The 14,735-nt window shown below is 48.7% G+C and overlaps 1 protein-coding gene and 1 long non-coding RNA gene across 3 annotated transcripts, besides 8 other annotated features; one reads left to right on the top strand and one right to left on the bottom strand.

The window, feature by feature from the left end:
* On the bottom strand, positions 50-2,455 carry ID2 (inhibitor of DNA binding 2). The gene is made up of 3 exons (NM_002166.5): positions 1,998-2,455; positions 1,605-1,668; positions 50-826 (listed from the first exon to the last, which is right to left on the bottom strand). Exons 1-2 carry the CDS (start codon positions 2,343-2,345, stop codon positions 1,612-1,614), a joined length of 405 nt encoding a protein of 134 aa, NP_002157.2. The 5' UTR covers positions 2,346-2,455; the 3' UTR covers positions 50-826; positions 1,605-1,611.
* Positions 2,216-2,265: an enhancer, noted in NCBI's record as "active region_15273". NCBI's record gives its function as "activates an Ori minimal core promoter by ATAC-STARR-seq in GM12878 lymphoblastoid cells {active_cell/tissue: GM12878}" and the evidence as "EXISTENCE:reporter gene assay evidence [ECO:0000049][PMID:35858748]".
* Positions 2,456-2,647: 192 nt separating the features above from the next.
* ID2-AS1 (ID2 antisense RNA 1) lies at positions 2,648-13,527 on the top strand. Of its 2 annotated transcripts, NR_110154.1 has the most exons (4): positions 2,648-2,684; positions 11,204-11,474; positions 12,739-12,930; positions 13,234-13,527. It is a non-coding gene; the product is annotated as an ID2 antisense RNA 1 (long non-coding RNA). The 2 variants fall into 2 exon arrangements; NR_110153.1 differs by lacking the exons at positions 11,204-11,474; positions 12,739-12,930; positions 13,234-13,527 and adding an exon at positions 3,924-4,702 and having other exon boundaries at positions 2,650-2,684.
* Positions 2,753-3,256: an enhancer, noted in NCBI's record as "NANOG hESC enhancer chr2:8821385-8821888 (GRCh37/hg19 assembly coordinates)". NCBI's record gives its function as "activates a minimal SCP1, AML or CMV promoter by ChIP-STARR-seq in primed H9 embryonic stem cells {active_cell/tissue: H9 hESC(primed)}" and the evidence as "EXISTENCE:reporter gene assay evidence [ECO:0000049][PMID:30033119]".
* Positions 5,151-5,684: an enhancer, noted in NCBI's record as "H3K27ac-H3K4me1 hESC enhancer chr2:8818957-8819490 (GRCh37/hg19 assembly coordinates)". NCBI's record gives its function as "activates a minimal SCP1, AML or CMV promoter by ChIP-STARR-seq in naive H9 embryonic stem cells {active_cell/tissue: H9 hESC(naive)}" and the evidence as "EXISTENCE:reporter gene assay evidence [ECO:0000049][PMID:30033119]".
* Positions 5,151-5,739: a biological region, named in NCBI's record as "H3K27ac-H3K4me1 hESC enhancer GRCh37_chr2:8818957-8819490".
* Positions 5,240-5,739: a silencer, noted in NCBI's record as "silent region_11126". NCBI's record gives its function as "represses an Ori minimal core promoter by ATAC-STARR-seq in GM12878 lymphoblastoid cells {active_cell/tissue: GM12878}" and the evidence as "EXISTENCE:reporter gene assay evidence [ECO:0000049][PMID:35858748]".
* Positions 5,685-6,218: an enhancer, noted in NCBI's record as "OCT4-NANOG-H3K27ac hESC enhancer chr2:8818423-8818956 (GRCh37/hg19 assembly coordinates)". NCBI's record gives its function as "activates a minimal SCP1, AML or CMV promoter by ChIP-STARR-seq in naive H9 embryonic stem cells {active_cell/tissue: H9 hESC(naive)}" and the evidence as "EXISTENCE:reporter gene assay evidence [ECO:0000049][PMID:30033119]".
* Positions 6,932-7,849: an enhancer, noted in NCBI's record as "H3K27ac-H3K4me1 hESC enhancer chr2:8816792-8817709 (GRCh37/hg19 assembly coordinates)". NCBI's record gives its function as "activates a minimal SCP1, AML or CMV promoter by ChIP-STARR-seq in primed H9 embryonic stem cells {active_cell/tissue: H9 hESC(primed)}" and the evidence as "EXISTENCE:reporter gene assay evidence [ECO:0000049][PMID:30033119]".
* Positions 7,850-8,768: an enhancer, noted in NCBI's record as "H3K27ac-H3K4me1 hESC enhancer chr2:8815873-8816791 (GRCh37/hg19 assembly coordinates)". NCBI's record gives its function as "activates a minimal SCP1, AML or CMV promoter by ChIP-STARR-seq in naive and primed H9 embryonic stem cells {active_cell/tissue: H9 hESC(naive and primed)}" and the evidence as "EXISTENCE:reporter gene assay evidence [ECO:0000049][PMID:30033119]".
* Positions 13,528-14,735: the final 1,208 nt, after the last annotated feature.

Below are 14,735 nucleotides of genomic sequence, written 5' to 3'. Positions count from 1 at the left end.
GGAGAGAAAAGAGCTAGTGAATGCCAGAGATCTTAAAAACCACTCGGAATTCAGGTATTGACTTCAGACATGTTTTATTATAATCTTATACAGTCTACATAAATTTGAACTTGTATTTATTTGGGTTCAGTTATAACATAGCATAATAAAAATCAAAGCACTGGTCCTCTGAAATAAAGCAGGCAATCACCATTCAATAAACACACTTGATTTATTTTGTATAAAAGGGTTAAGTTTACAACTAAACTTTTATAAAAAGTTTAGCATGAATAAGTACATCATTACACTTTTGAATGCAGAAATAGACATCTCTGCCACTATACAAGAAAACTCTAATTAAAGAGTTCACAAGGTTTCACTCAAATAGATATATTTATATATAAATATATACACAGCATTCAGTAGGCTTGTGTCAAAAAGGTAATTTCTGACCAAAAGACTTCATTTAAGTGACTGAATACTGGATCCTTCTGGTATTCACGCTCCACCTTTGAAAAAAGGCAAAGTCTGCTTAGATTGGGCAATTCCTTGTGATTTTAACGTTTTCGCTCCCCATGGTGGGAATAGTATATAAAGAAAACCTTCCAACTGCAGAAAGGGCATTTAAAAGTCTTTTTCATAAATAACGAATATCACAGTCCAAGTAAGAGAACACCCTGGGAAGATGATCATTCTTAGTTTTCCTTCCATTTTTTTTTTCTTTTTAAAAAGGTCCATTCAACTTGTCCTCCTTGTGAAATGGTTGAAAAATAAGTTCAGCACTTAAAAGATTCCGTGAATTTGTTGTTGTTGTTGTTGTGCAAAGAATAAAAGAAATCATGAACACCTGCGAAAGAGTGGGGGAGAAAGGCATGTTTAAGAGAATGTAACCTAAGGGCAGAGGCGGGCGACTGGCGCCGGGAGGAAGCCACAGTTTGAACATTTAACCAAACACTCAAAGATTGGGCAAACCCTGGCGTCCAGATGCAACACACACACTCGCCTCGACAGCGCAAATTAAACATTAAAATAGCAGAGACTCAAGGGAAAAACTTCCCAACCCAATCTCCTATTTGGATCTCCAACAGCAGTGCTACAGGCGCCAGTCTGCTTCTCGTAACAATTATTTGATTGAAAACAGCCCTTTAGTTAACAGATAGGGAAGTCTGGGATCCCACATCACAGGGTTGAAGGCACAGGGTAGCAATCCTCAACTAGCCCAGAGAATCCCAGAGGACTATAGTTTTAGGGAAGGAGGATCACTATGGAATTTGTGGCGGTAAGATTAATTACAGTGGAGGTTAGTACCTCATAGTACCAGAGGACTCGTAGGAAGATCCAGGGCATTACATTTGCTACAAAGCCAATACACACGTTCCTCGGCCGCCTTCGTAGTAAGTTATTGGCATCATTTCCTTTTAAAGGAAAATGTTCTGTGATCTCGAGCACCCAAAGCTACAAGCTCCTTCATGTCTAGTGAGACAATGTAGTACGGGTAACACCGCGAAGTAAGCATGCATTTACCAAATCAGACATTTTATAGATACACAAGCAAAAACACATGCGCGCGCGCGCACACACACCGAGGGGCAGTTTACCCACGGGTGGCACAAGCAAACACTCACCGCTTATTCAGCCACACAGTGCTTTGCTGTCATTTGACATTAACTCAGAAGGGAATTCAGAAGCCTGGAAAGAAAGAGGATAAAGAGTACGAGGTTAAGACAATGTTAAGTAGAAAGGGTTTTTTTTTTTTTTTTTTTTTTTTTGTAGTCCACAGACCAGCAAGTTCCATTAAACACGTTTATGGTAACAATTCAGATTTAAAGACAGACGCATTAACATGTCAGAACTTACTAGCAATTTCACGCACAGCTCAATCTACAGCAGATTCTGAAGAAAATAAAGTTAAATAGCTCATACGAAAGTCACCGTCTGGGCTACGGATCTCCTAGTGACAGCCCAGACGACCGCGGGAGTGTGCGGCGGCGGGGCGGGGACCCCGGAGCAGGTCTTACCTGCAAGGACAGGATGCTGATATCCGTGTTGAGGGTGGTCAGCGGCGTCCTGGACGCCTGGTTCTGCCCGGGTCTCTGGTGATGCAGGCTGACAATAGTGGGATGCGAGTCCAGGGCGATCTGCAGGTCCAAGATGTAGTCGATGACGTGCTGCAGGATTTCCATCTTGCTCACCTTCTTGTTCTGGGGGATGCTGGGCACCAGCTCCTTGAGCTTGGAGTAGCAGTCGTTCATGTTGTATAGCAGGCTCATCGGGTCGTCCACAGGGGTTTTGCTCCGGGAGATGCCCAGGCTGTGGTCCGACAGGCTGTTTTTCCTAACGGACCTCACGGGACTGAAGGCTTTCATGCTGACCGCGAGGGAAGGCGAGACCGGGAGGGAGCTGGCTGCCCTGAAGCTCAGGCCGCCGCTGCCGCCTGCTGAGCTAGCTGCGCTTGGCACCGGGCTCGGCTCAGAATGAAGCCCGAGCCCGGCGGGGCGGCTTTTATCCGCACTCGCCGGGGCCACACGCTGGAGCTTCCCTTCGTCCCCATTGGCGGAAGGTGGCACGTCTATCAAGACGAGCGGGCGCTTCCATTGGTGGGCGCGGGCGCGGGGCGTGGGCTTGGTTCTTCCGCGTTCGCAGCCAATCCCCGCGGGGTGGGCGGGGCGCGAGCCCAGCTGGGGTGGTAAATAGAGTACAGTACAGTAAGTGCGGGGCTGGCGGGGGGCGGGGGGCGGGGAGCGGCGGGCGGGGGGCGGGGAGGAGGGAGGCGGGAGGAGGGAGAGGAGGAGGGAGGAGGAAGAGAAGGGAAGATGGGGGAGGGGAAGGGGGAGGGGAAGGGGGAGGGGAAGGAGGAGGGAGAAGGGGGCAGACCCTGGGCGCCTAAATATGCATTCTTAATTCTAATTCCAAGCGCGCGGCGGGACCCTTGCCCTGGGGGTGTTCCCAGACCAAGCCCTACACACCTTAGAGCTGTCGGCAGCTCTAAAATCACAGCTACACGGGCGAGTTCAGCACCGCAGGGGGGAAGCCACAGTTCACTGCAACCCATCGGAGGGAGAGCGTGAGGAAAGATAGAAAGCATTTCAGAAGAAAGTGAAAACGCAAATTAGGTTGTCACTGAAGAGTCACGTTTGTAGAGTGAGTTCGTCTCTTCAGATAAGGAAAAGTTATGTTAACACAAACAAACCACCCACGCACGCATTCGACGACAGGCTTAGTGTGGGCTTTTGCAACCCGGAGCAGCGCGGGAGGCATTACTGTAAACTCAAGAAAATGAGTACTTATTGCAAACCATGCCCAACCTCACCGGTCGCTAAGGAGCTCTCACAGGCAGGGCGCTTTCAGGGTTCCTTTTCAAGAAGGAGGCAGGGCTATTATAATGATCGTATTAATCGGAAATAATTAGGAGAATTTGCATATTGAAACTACATTTACATACACTGCCCTTGAAAGGCTGCCGGTCTGTGCCCTTCCGTGTAGGTGGCAAAGTAATGTGATTAATTATGCACTAATTGTGATTTCTGGTGTCACATTCCAACACCTAGAGGAGTTCCAAAGCTTTGTGACAGATAGGTGGCCCTAGCCATTGATAGACATCTTCACACTAAGGAAAAAAAAATATTCTGTCATATGAGGTTTGGAATCTTTTCAGCACTAGTACTGAATACGGGTTCAAGGTTTTTTTTTTTTTTTTTGGCTGAAAATCTTTTAAGAACTCGTTCTTTCAGTCTAAGTTTTAAAAAGTTTGCAGCTATTTACTTAAATACCTTAATTTTCACATAATTGTAGCTTATCTAGAATTCTGTTTTGACCACAGTGTGTCAGTTTCTTGTTTTTGAAAATATTTGCTCCAGAAAACAATGAACTAGAAAACTCCAGGAAAGGCAATATTCAAATCTTATTTACTTTCTGCCTCAATCTCTACCTCCTTTGCATTTCAGAAAGCGGAAGGGGCAGGCCTAGAAGCTGAAAGAAAAGCTCGATAATGGGGAAACAGTGTTTTTTCCTTCAATTAATGATTAATTTCTCAGCTGGTGGGGCCAGCAGTCTCTGACCGTCACGTGACAGCTATGCGCCCCATGACGCCTCTCCAGGGAGGCAGAGTGGGTGGCACTGAGGTGGAGCTCACCTTCCTGAAATTCAGCCCCCTCAGTTTGGAGGAAGGAGGTAAACTGTTTCCTGTCCAGCCAGAAGTTTGCGGAGGGCCTTCCCCAGGCCAGGCAATGCTGCCTGCGACTCTGTCCCTGACAGCGTTGGATGCACCGTATCTCTTCTGATATTAAGTCTGGAAGTGATTTACTATCCGAGTCCTCCCACAGTTCGAGCCTTTTGATGTACTTTGTGTGCATGTGTTTCTGTCACATACGTGCCACAGTGGAACAGATTTTGTTTTGACACTATTTTGGTTCATGATGTTATACTTTGACTATTTTACAATAATAGCCAATGTAAACAAACATCTTTGGGATTCTCAAATTATTACTTATGATTCTTGGACATTGCAGCTCTTCGATACTGACGCATTCCTAGCTTTTTCCAAGGACACCGTATGTTAACATCCGTGCCAGCCTCATTATCCCCACAGCCAGGCTCTGGGTTGGGCGGTAATGAGCATTGTGCGGTTTCACTTTACACTTTGCAAAGTTGATTAAGGCAGTGCCTTCTCCCATGATCATTTTTGTACCCTGATGTAGTAAAATGGCTAAATATGGTGAAAGTTTTCTGGTGTTTCTTTCTTTAGCTGCCATGTCAGAGTCCAGTCTGCCTGGCTGTGTTGAATTCGATTCTATTGGCACGCTACCCAGTTTTACATTCATTTAAAGATCATTTAAAGGGGATTACGAAGCTGTATAAGTTAATGATTTAAACGAGGCCTAAGTTACTAGTGTGTCTGTTTCAGCACGCCCAATATGAAATCACCTTAAAAATTGCTTTCGTGGGGGAAAATCGTGTCGGAGCATTTTCCAAGTGGGTTTAAAGGCAAGTCAAAATCTGTCAATTGGTGGCTTGGGTGGGTTTGCATTTGAGGCCTCCAAAGTTCAAACGGCCCCAGCTAGAGGGAGGGCTAGATCCGCGGGCGGTGGGAAGGTGTGCAGGGCTTCCGCTGGTGGGTGTTGGTGCGGTTCCCCTCGACTCCCCACCGGGACGCCCCCACCCCGTGGCAGCGACAGACCGGCCCGTAAGGTCCCCCAGCCTGGCTCCAGGACTCACTCACTCCGCCTCTAGGGCAGGCCCCGCGGCGGCTCTCGCGTCCGGGCCCCTCGCGGTAATCAGAAGCAGCTCCGGGCCGGGAGCTCCGCGCTGGCCAGGCCGCCTTTGCCACCCCCGCGTGATGCGCCGGGGGGCGGGAGGAGCCTGCGGGGGCGGGGGGCGCGTCTCAAGGTCCTCCCTGCACATCTGGCGCAATGGGGAGCGTTCGCCTTTCTTTCCCGGGTTTTGTTCTCACAGCTGTGTCCATTCCGCCCGTGACCCCGCGAGTGATCCCTGACAGGTGATGAATTGGCGGCGGCGGTGGCGGCGGCGGCGGCGCGCGGGCCAGGCCGCGGCGGGGCCGGAGCCGGAGCCCCGGAGCAGACTCTCTGGCGCCAGGCGCGTGACGCCGCCCATTCACGCCGCCCTGCAGCCTTGTCCTCGCGGCGCCGCTCAGGCGGCTGCCATGGCAACCGCGCCGTCACTCAGCGCGCGCGCCCAGCTGATCAATGCCTGCGAGGCCCGGCAGTCCCAGGCTCGCCCAGGCCCGGCCGCCGGCCCGCGCGCACCTGCAGACGCTGCACGTCTTAAGTTTCGAGTGATTTGGGGAAGGAAAGAGGACCGAGAAGAAAAGAAAAGGGCTCGGGGGGGGGGGGGGGTGGGCGGGTGAGGGGCGGAGGAGAGGACGAAGGAAAAAAGCCGGGAGAGGGAGAAGAAAGAAATCTTCCTTTTGCAAAAGGAGGCATAATGTGGCTTAGAGGTTGCCAAAGCAAAAGGTTTTGCTTTATTTTGTTTTTGCAACCGAGGCGTTCAGGGTGGGGCTGGCGCGAGGGAAGGGTGGATGGGGAGAAGGTCACTGTCTTAGCACATGGCGAGATTTATTTACTCCTTTGGATTATTTCGGTTTCTCGCCGAATGGCTTTGATCCTGGATTCCTAAAAATACCTTTGAAAGATTGAAAGACTCGCCCCGCCCCCCCAACCTCCACACCGTCTTACTGCCTAACTCCTCGGAACCCTCGGAGGTTGCGCATAAACAATTTTTTCTTCCAGAACGGCCCCCCTCTCCGCCCTGGGGGAGCCGGGAGGATGTGCAGCCCCAGTCCTCCTGCTCGGCGGAGCCTCGCGCGCGCAGAGCCTAGCGCGATTCGCGCCCTCATTACTACTACAAAGCGCGGGCCAGACCAATCCCCTTTCTAATGCACCATTTTCGACTGAGAACATCAAGAGGCCAGAAACTTCCAAGTCAGCTTGCAGACGCAGACGCCTCCTGGGGTCCTGGCTTTAAGAACCAGATGCCAACACTCCCGGACAGTTTATGGCATCCGGATCCCTCAAGGGTGCTCATCTGCAGTTGAGAGTGTTAGTAGCAATTATTTATCTGTCCTGGAGAGGAGTTCCTGAACATAAATGTCCTCTGCTGGCCCTAAAGCTGGGGGCGGAGGCTGTGTGTTGTGGGGTGGGGGTTGGGGGGCCGAATGTTCCCGGTCCTGTTATCTGGTTTAGCAGCATTTGTTGTGGTTTTCGAGGAAACGGCATTTGGATTACATAAGGATTCAAGTTTTTGCTGTACTTGTTTATTTAATACCTTGGCAAGAGGGAGCCCTTACCCTGAAACCAGATAACCGATTTTGGGTTTAAAACAGCCTTAGATGAAGGGCCACTCGAGGGGAAGAAAATGAGCAAAGCCACAAAAAGCAAACAAGGGAATGTTTATTTTTCTCTTTTTGGATATTTTTGAAGACCTGCCTAACCTCTTACACTTCTTGTCGCATACAGCTAATAAATGGCATTAACAAAGCGTTTCAGCGACTACCACGGCTTCACAGTGGCTCCTCCCCTGCCCTGCCACCATTCAGGCTGTAATTCCTTCCAGGATTCCCGCACCATCCTGTGTGCCCAGAGCTCTCTAGAGCACCAGGTAGAACTCCGTGCTAAATCCAATTGCTTGCAATCTTCTGATCCCCTTTTAGGGAGATCACTTTTCAGCTTGGTTCAAAGAAAGCAAAGTTTGGGAAGTTTGGCGGAGGGGCCGACTTAACTACGGGCACTGCAAATATTTTGTTACAAATGCTGTGAAGTGCCCCGATTTGTGGCTGCGTTAGCTTTCACAAAGGATTTTCCTGTGTCTTTTGTTCCGATCACCAAATTAAAAGAGAAAATTAACTTGAGTGAGAGATAAGGTCTTGGAAAACAATCTTGGGCCGCCCGCGAGCTGGCGGGAGCGGGGCTGGCGTCGCCTTGTCTGCGCCGCCCCGAGGCGCGAGTCTTGGGGTCCGGCCACCGCAGGGAGCCTAGGTCATGCAGGGACCCCCCCCTCCATCCGCTGTGCACCCTCGCGCCACAGCGCAGCACCCAGGCCACCCCCCCTCTGCCCACCAGCGTCCGTGGGAATCCGCCCCAGCCAGCGACAAGGACGGACTTGTCCGGAATCAAACTGCATCTTAATATTATAATGCGGCACCAAAAGCAAAACCCGAGGCCCCGGCTTGCAGTCCCTAACAAGAAACACATTGTGTGCACTTTTTCTTTTTTGGCTCAAGCCACGTTCGCGCGCCGGCCCCTCCGCAGCGAGCCAAGTCCATGACTTCAGTGAGGAGGAACCCGCCTGCCTCGCACCACGTGCGCTCCCAGCTGGGGCAGCCGCCCTGTGAGCCCTGTCCCGGTCCCTGGGACGGGCTAGGGCCTGGCCGGGACGCGCTTGTCCTGGGCACAGGACAAGGGCTTTGGGGCACAGCCCTTTCTCGGCCGGGGAGGCAGGCGAACCGATCGCCCGGGCACTGGTGTTACCCAGGCGGCGCCAGCGCGAGTTGGCTGGTGGACAGGTTTTTCAATAGTTTGAACTCCTTCTTCCCCTTGCCGCATCTTTAAGGCGTTTACTCCCAGATTCAGCCCTCTCCTCATAATAATGACAGTTTGCAGACTTTTCCTTTCCAGTTAGAGTGCGTGCGCGGGTCCTGCAAGATCCCAGCCGCGCGTCACCGCGAACCATTCTGCGGGAGGGGCAGGACCTAAGGCTGCATCTCCAGGAGGGAACGTGGAGACACCGCGGGCGGAGGGGACCTGGAGGAGTTCCTGGAGGAGCAGTCCTAGGCACGGGGCGAAGGATTTGCGCTCTAGCTGGTGGAGCGCACATCGCCCTGGTTAGCTCTGCGGTGGGTCCTGGGCTCATCCCGGCCTCTTCCTGCCTCCGCTGACATCAGGGCCTCTCCTGTTTAGTCCTAGGCCTGCCCTTCATCAGGACTCCGCAGAAAAGGATGGGTAAATTAAGGCATACATTTAATTTTAACCATCATGCCTGACTTTCTAGGATTCTGTGTGAAGAATACAGAGACAGACGTTCCATTTCAAAGAAAAAAGAGCAACACGAAGGCCCTCTTTAAGGAGAGAGTAAACATTCACTTTAGGTAAAAAATAGTCTTTTACACGCCTGTGCACGGCACACCTCTTTTGCTGTTCACCTTGAGCCCAAGAGTTTGGAAAGGCTGCCCCCATTTCAGAGAGGAAGAAACGCAGGCACACGTGAATGACAGACTCCTCTGTGGTGGCCTAGACTCCAGCCAACACTTCCTAGGACAGCCTGCCATTGTGCAAAGGTGTGTAACCTTGACTCCAGGTGGAGCATTGATTACTCTTTTAACCTTGAAATGTATTCCACTCCTGGACAGCTGGATTGCCAAGAGCCAGGAATCTGTGAAAACAGTTTGTTCTCATTTTTCTTCCAAGTTAACACCGAATGACTGAGCTTGACCCTTTGTTAACTAAAGGTCAACTAACATCTTAGGACTTTTCAAACCTTAGTCTATGTAAGAAACCCACGTTTACACCCAGAGTTCTGTGGCCACCTGTATAAATTCTGATTGAGTAGGTTTGGTGAGCAGCCCAGGATATAGCATTTTAAGCAAGCATGGCGAGGAGATGCTGATGCCGGTGGTGCGGCGACCACAATTTGAGAAGCTTCAGATAAATAATTGGCCTCTTAAATGAGCCCTGGATAAATAATCGGCCTCTTAAATGAACCCTGCAGTAGGCAGACTGCTGGGTGAGAATGAGCCTACTTGGACCCTTTAAGGCAGCGGTCCCCAACCGTTTTGGCACCAGGAACCGGCTTCATGGAAGTCCATTTTTCCAATGGGGGGTTGGGAGAGGGTTGAGGGAGTGGGGCTGGGGGATGGGTGGTGGGTACTAGGGGTATAGTTTTGGGATGAAACTGTTCCACTTCAGATCATCAGGCATTAGATTCTCCTAAGGAGCCCACAGACTAGAACCCTGGCATGTGCAGTTCACCGTAGGGTTTGCGCTCCCATGAGAACTAACGCTGTGGCTGATCTGACAGGAGGCGGAGCTCAGGGAGTAATGCTCATTCACTGCTCACCTCCTGCTCTGCCTGGGATTCCTAACAGGTCACAGACCGGTACCAGCCCACTGCCTGGGGTTTTGGGGACGCCTGCTTTAAGAAACTAACTGTACACTCGTTTCTAGAAATTCAAGAGAAGGAAAATCTGTTATACTTACCCGCATTTTCTCTTTTTCCTTTGTTCTTTTTTCCTTCCTGATATTCCATTAGTCTCCGTTTGAGTAATTCCTGCTGTTTCAAGAGCATTTTTTGGACAGTCTTTTAGGGTAGGTGTGTTGGTGACATGTTCCCTTAGTTTTCCCGCATCTGAAGTCTTGTTCTTGCCTTCAGTTCTGCAGGATATTTTTGCTGGATATAGAATTTGGGGTTGACAGTGTTTTTTCGTTTTAGCACCTGACATTCTGTGGTGCTTTCTTCCTTCTATCAGGGTTTCTCATGACAAAATCTGATTTCTCATATGAAATCTGCTGTTATTTGAATTGCTTTTTCCCCAATGTAAGTAAGGTGTGGTTTCTCTCTCCTTGATTTGTCTTTTCATTTTTGGAAGTTTGCCTATGATCTCTCTAGGCATGGATTTCTTTAGGTTTATTCTGTTTGAGGTTCTCTAGACAGCTTCTTTTGCCAAACTTGGGAAATTTTCAACCATTATTTCTTCACATGCTTTTTCAGCCCTGCCCTTTTTCTCTTCTCTTTTCAGAACTCCAATGACACTAATGTTAGATCTTTTATTATAATCCCAGAGGTCCCTGAGACTATGTTAATATATTTTTAAAAAATCTGTTTTCTCTCTGTTGTTCAGTTGGGCAATTTCTGTTGTTCTGTCTTCAGGTTCACAGATGGTTTCCTCTGCCCTCTCCACTGTGCTTTTGAGTCCATTCAATGAGTTTTTACTTTGGTTACTGTATTTTTCAGTTTTAAGATTTCCCTTTCATTCTTCTTTACATCTTCTGCTTCTTTACTGAGTTTTCTATTTTTTCATCTTTTTTTTGCCTGTTCATAATTGCTCATTAGAAGATTTTTCTGATGGCCCCTGCAGAGTCCTTGTCAGATTATTCCAACATCTGTGTCACCTCAGTGTTGGCAACTGTTGATTGTCTTTTCTCGTTCAAGTTGAGCTTTTCCTGGTTCTTGGAATGATGAATGATTTTTTTTTTCTTTTTTCTTGAAACCTGGGCGTTTTGGGGGTAATGTTATGATGTGGAGCTTATTTAAATCTTCTATTATAGTGGCCTCTGCTGCACCACCCTGGCTTGGGAGGAGGTGCTCCTCACGTGGCCTCCAATGACATTGTGGGGTGGAGGCATCTTACCATTGGAAGGTGATGAATGTCGCAGTTCTTACTCAACCTTGACAACCTCAGTGGGGAGAGAGCAGTGCCTGATTATCCCCTGGGTGGTGGATGGGGTGGGTGGGTGTTCAGGCTCCCAGGTAGCCTCTGCTGATGCTTATTGCTGACCTGCAGGGATGACTGTCTGCTCCCCACTGCACCTTCTCTGACACCATCCTGTTGTTCAGGGTGGCGTCTTCTGACAGCAGACTGAGGGGGGCCATCTAGCTCTTCACTCCCCTTTGCTGATGGGGTTAGAGTTGGGGCCACAGTCTTTTCTGTGGCGTTTGGTTGAAGTGGGACGGTTATAGTCTAAAAGGTTTTGGTTTCTTGGCTTCTCTCTTACAGTCACCATGTAACAAATGCAGACATCTCTGAGATCACCATGCAGTGAGGAAGTCTAAGCTGGTGGCATGAAGAGGCCACATGGAAAGGGCTAAAAAAGGGGCCAGCCTCAGTCATCCCAGCTGAGCACCTGGCTGGGAATAAAAGAGGACTCCGTGGATGTCCAGCCCAGTAAGATGACCTCAGCCCCAGCCACCAACTGACCAAGCACACAAGACATCGTGAGGCTGCCTGCTGGAGCCTGGCCAGTGGGACTGTAGAGTAACTCATTGTCGTAAGTCAATACTTTTGTGGGTGATTTGTTTCATAAAGTGGCCTCCAAAAGAGAAATTGGGGGTACAGAGTTTCTAGGTATAATCTTGTGCATTCATTATAGTTGTAATCATTGATAATTTATTTGTGTATTTTTCCTGAAAGTTTTATAACAACATGATTTATAGTGCATAAAATAAACATATCCCTACACCCAACAAACCTACCTGTTTTTTTTGTTTTTTTTTTTTTTGAGACAGGGTCTCACTCTGTTGCCCAGGCTGGAGTACAGTGGCATGATCATGGTTCACTGCAGCCTCAACCTTTTGGGCTCAAGCAATCCTCCTACTTCAGCCTCCCAAGTAGCTGGGGCTATGGGCATGTGTCACAGCACCCAGCTATTTATTTCTTTTTGAGACAGGGTTTCACTCCTGTCACCCAGGCTGGAGTGCAGTGGTGCGATAGCTCACTGCAACCTCTACCTCCTGGGCTCAAGCAATTCTGCTGCCTTAGTCCCCCGAGTAGCTGGGACTATAGGCACATGCCACTGCACCTGGCTAATTTTTGTATTTTTTTAGAGGCGAGGTTTCGTCATGGTGCCTTGGCTGTTCTTAAACTCCTGAGCTCAAGTGGTCCTCCTGCCTTGGTCTCCCAAAGTGTTGGGATTACAGATGTGAGCCACTGCATCTGGCTAATTTTTATATTTTTTTGTAGAGATGGATTTTCACCATATTACCCAGCTGGTCTCGAACTTCTGGGCTCAAGTCATCTGCCTGTCTCAGCCTCCCAAAGTGCTGGGATTACAGGCATCACTGCACCCCGCCTAAAAGTGCCTTAATTTTAAAAGAAATACAGGTTTTATTTGATATGTGTCTAGTATATTCTTAGGACTTTCTTTTAACCAATAAGAACCCCTACCAACTATCCCCCAAGATATAGAATTTATAACCCTATGTGATGACTGTATGTTTTGAACCAAAACCAAGTATGATGAATGGTACCAGCTCAGGGGCCCTGGAGACACGAGGAAGCCTCACTGGTGAGAGGTGACTGCCTGTGGGCCGCACAGTTTCCTGGAAAGGCAGTGAGAGCATCTGGTACCTCCAGACACTGCAGAAACAGTGTCACAGAAACATCTCAGAGGCGTCACTTCTCTTTATCAAGATTTTAAAGTGATTTCAACATTAAAAAAAAACAACAACAATGTAAAGAATTTGAGTGTGGAGTGATGATCATGCTTCCAGGTTAGGATCAGGCTTTTTCTCCCATTGTCTTGTTGATTTAAGGTGCAGGAACTCCTGGGATGGTGTTGCCCAGTGACACAATCCCAGTGTGGCCATTTCTGATCCCGAGAAAGCAGTCAGGAGTGGGTGGATGCAGTTACAGTTCATCAAGTCCTGCTAGTTCAAGTCATGAGTCCTGAATTCTCCAGGAGGAGCCACTAAAGAAATGCAGAAGCAGGCAATCCTTGCAATAAGGTGGGATGAGGTTCTTTGGTTGCTGCCGTTACGGGGGTGGGGTGCATGTTGGGGCCTGGGGGGTGAGGCTGAGGGCTCCCCCAGTCTGTCCCTCCCTGAGCCTGAGCTCTTGGTTCCCACCCAGTCCTTTGTTTCTTTCGTCTCTGGGAGCACCTGCACCCCTGGTTTGCAGCGTGTCCTAGGGTGAGTCACCATGAGCCCCAGGTTCCCATGTGTAAAGGATGGGCAGCGCTCCCTCACCTGCTTCTGCACTAAGCCCTTACAGAGCCCTCAGACGGAGACTGCTGCTTTCATATCTTGCAGGCCAGCAAACTGCCAGTGTGAAGGATGCCCAGGTAACCTGCCCATGCCAGAACGGCCAGGAGATGGTGGAACCAGAATCTAAGCCCACGCCCATCTGACCTCAAAGTCTGTGCTCCTGAGGTTCGCACCGAGTTGCCTCCTAAGACTTGCTGAAACTGGATCACGTCCATTTACCCATCTCTGAGAGAAATGCAAGCTTTAAAAAAGGAAATATTTACTATGGATATTTTACAATAGTTCCAAAACATGAAAGTTTTAAATAAGATATTCTTAACCATCCTCACCACATCTTCAGGTTCCCTTACAGCCACTGTGTTTTGACGATTGCCCATTAGAAAAAAAGACTATGCTTTCTGTAGGTTTTAAAGGAATGGTGGTGAAATAAGGAGCATTCCCTGAGCAGATCTTGCCTGCGGGCACACCTCTGAGCATTGGACCAGGCGAGAAGAGCCCATGTGTTGGCTGCTTTGGGATCCCAGCACTGCCAATGGCAGGTGGGCTGTGGCCCAGGGAGAGAACCTAGCCTTTTGCATTCTCTTGCCCCATTTGAAAATGGAGACGATAGTGGCGCCCCGCTCAGTGTTATTTTGAGGATTTGAATGTATCTCAGATGTAGTACCTGGAAAAATATAAGTGCTCAGTAAATACGGTTGCCAGATAAAATGCAGGAAACCTATTTAAATTTAAGTTTTGGCTGGACAATGAATAGAATAATTTTTCTTAGTATGAGTATGTCCTTATATTTCATCTGCTAAATTTAGCAACCTCCTCAGTAAACGATCACTACAATTGCAGAAACGCCTTATGACAGATATAGTAAATCTGTAAAGAAATAGGAACTTGCATTTATTTTTACTAAGCTCTGACTGGTTAAGATAACTGGGCAAGAGAAGATATCTTCGACTAAACTTGCAGCACATAGAGTATAGAGATTCAAATTTGAAGTCCTATAGGACTAGAATGGCCAGAGGTGAACTGTAGCGAGCTTATCTAAAGAGGACCAATTTCAAAAGTTCCTCAGAGACTTAAATGGGCCCACAGACCCCTCCTGTGTCTTTGCATAAGCCAGCTCGTTATATCAGTTATAAGTTGATTTCCAGAGAAATGTACCCTGGAGATCCCTCTCCCACTTGAAATAGGACTGGCCAATCCAGATGTCCCCCAGGTGATGTTGGCTCAAATGGAGCTCCATATATTGGAGAATCTATTCAAGAAAACAAGCAAAAGTATTTGTGACTGAGTTAGCTAATGCCAGCTGGTATCTTGAACAAACCCAGATCTCTAACATGCTAGTTTATTTCGTAGTGTAAAATGTGTGTTACTGATGGGCAGACAGCTCTCATTCAAGCAGTGACAGATGTAAGCTCTTCCCATTTTTGTGGCCCCATTGTATTCGGCGTGTGGCTTCCAAGTTGCCTGGGATCATCTCCACCCAGACTAAGGAAGAGGAAAGAGCTTGGACAACTGCACTTGGCTGGTTTTTATGGATCAGGCAAGGAATT

The sequence above is a fragment of the Homo sapiens genome, chromosome 2 (assembly GCF_000001405.40).
Source record: "Homo sapiens chromosome 2, GRCh38.p14 Primary Assembly".
Taxonomy (NCBI): Eukaryota; Metazoa; Chordata; class Mammalia; order Primates; family Hominidae; genus Homo; species Homo sapiens.
This window is presented reverse-complemented; position numbering and strand designations above follow the sequence as displayed.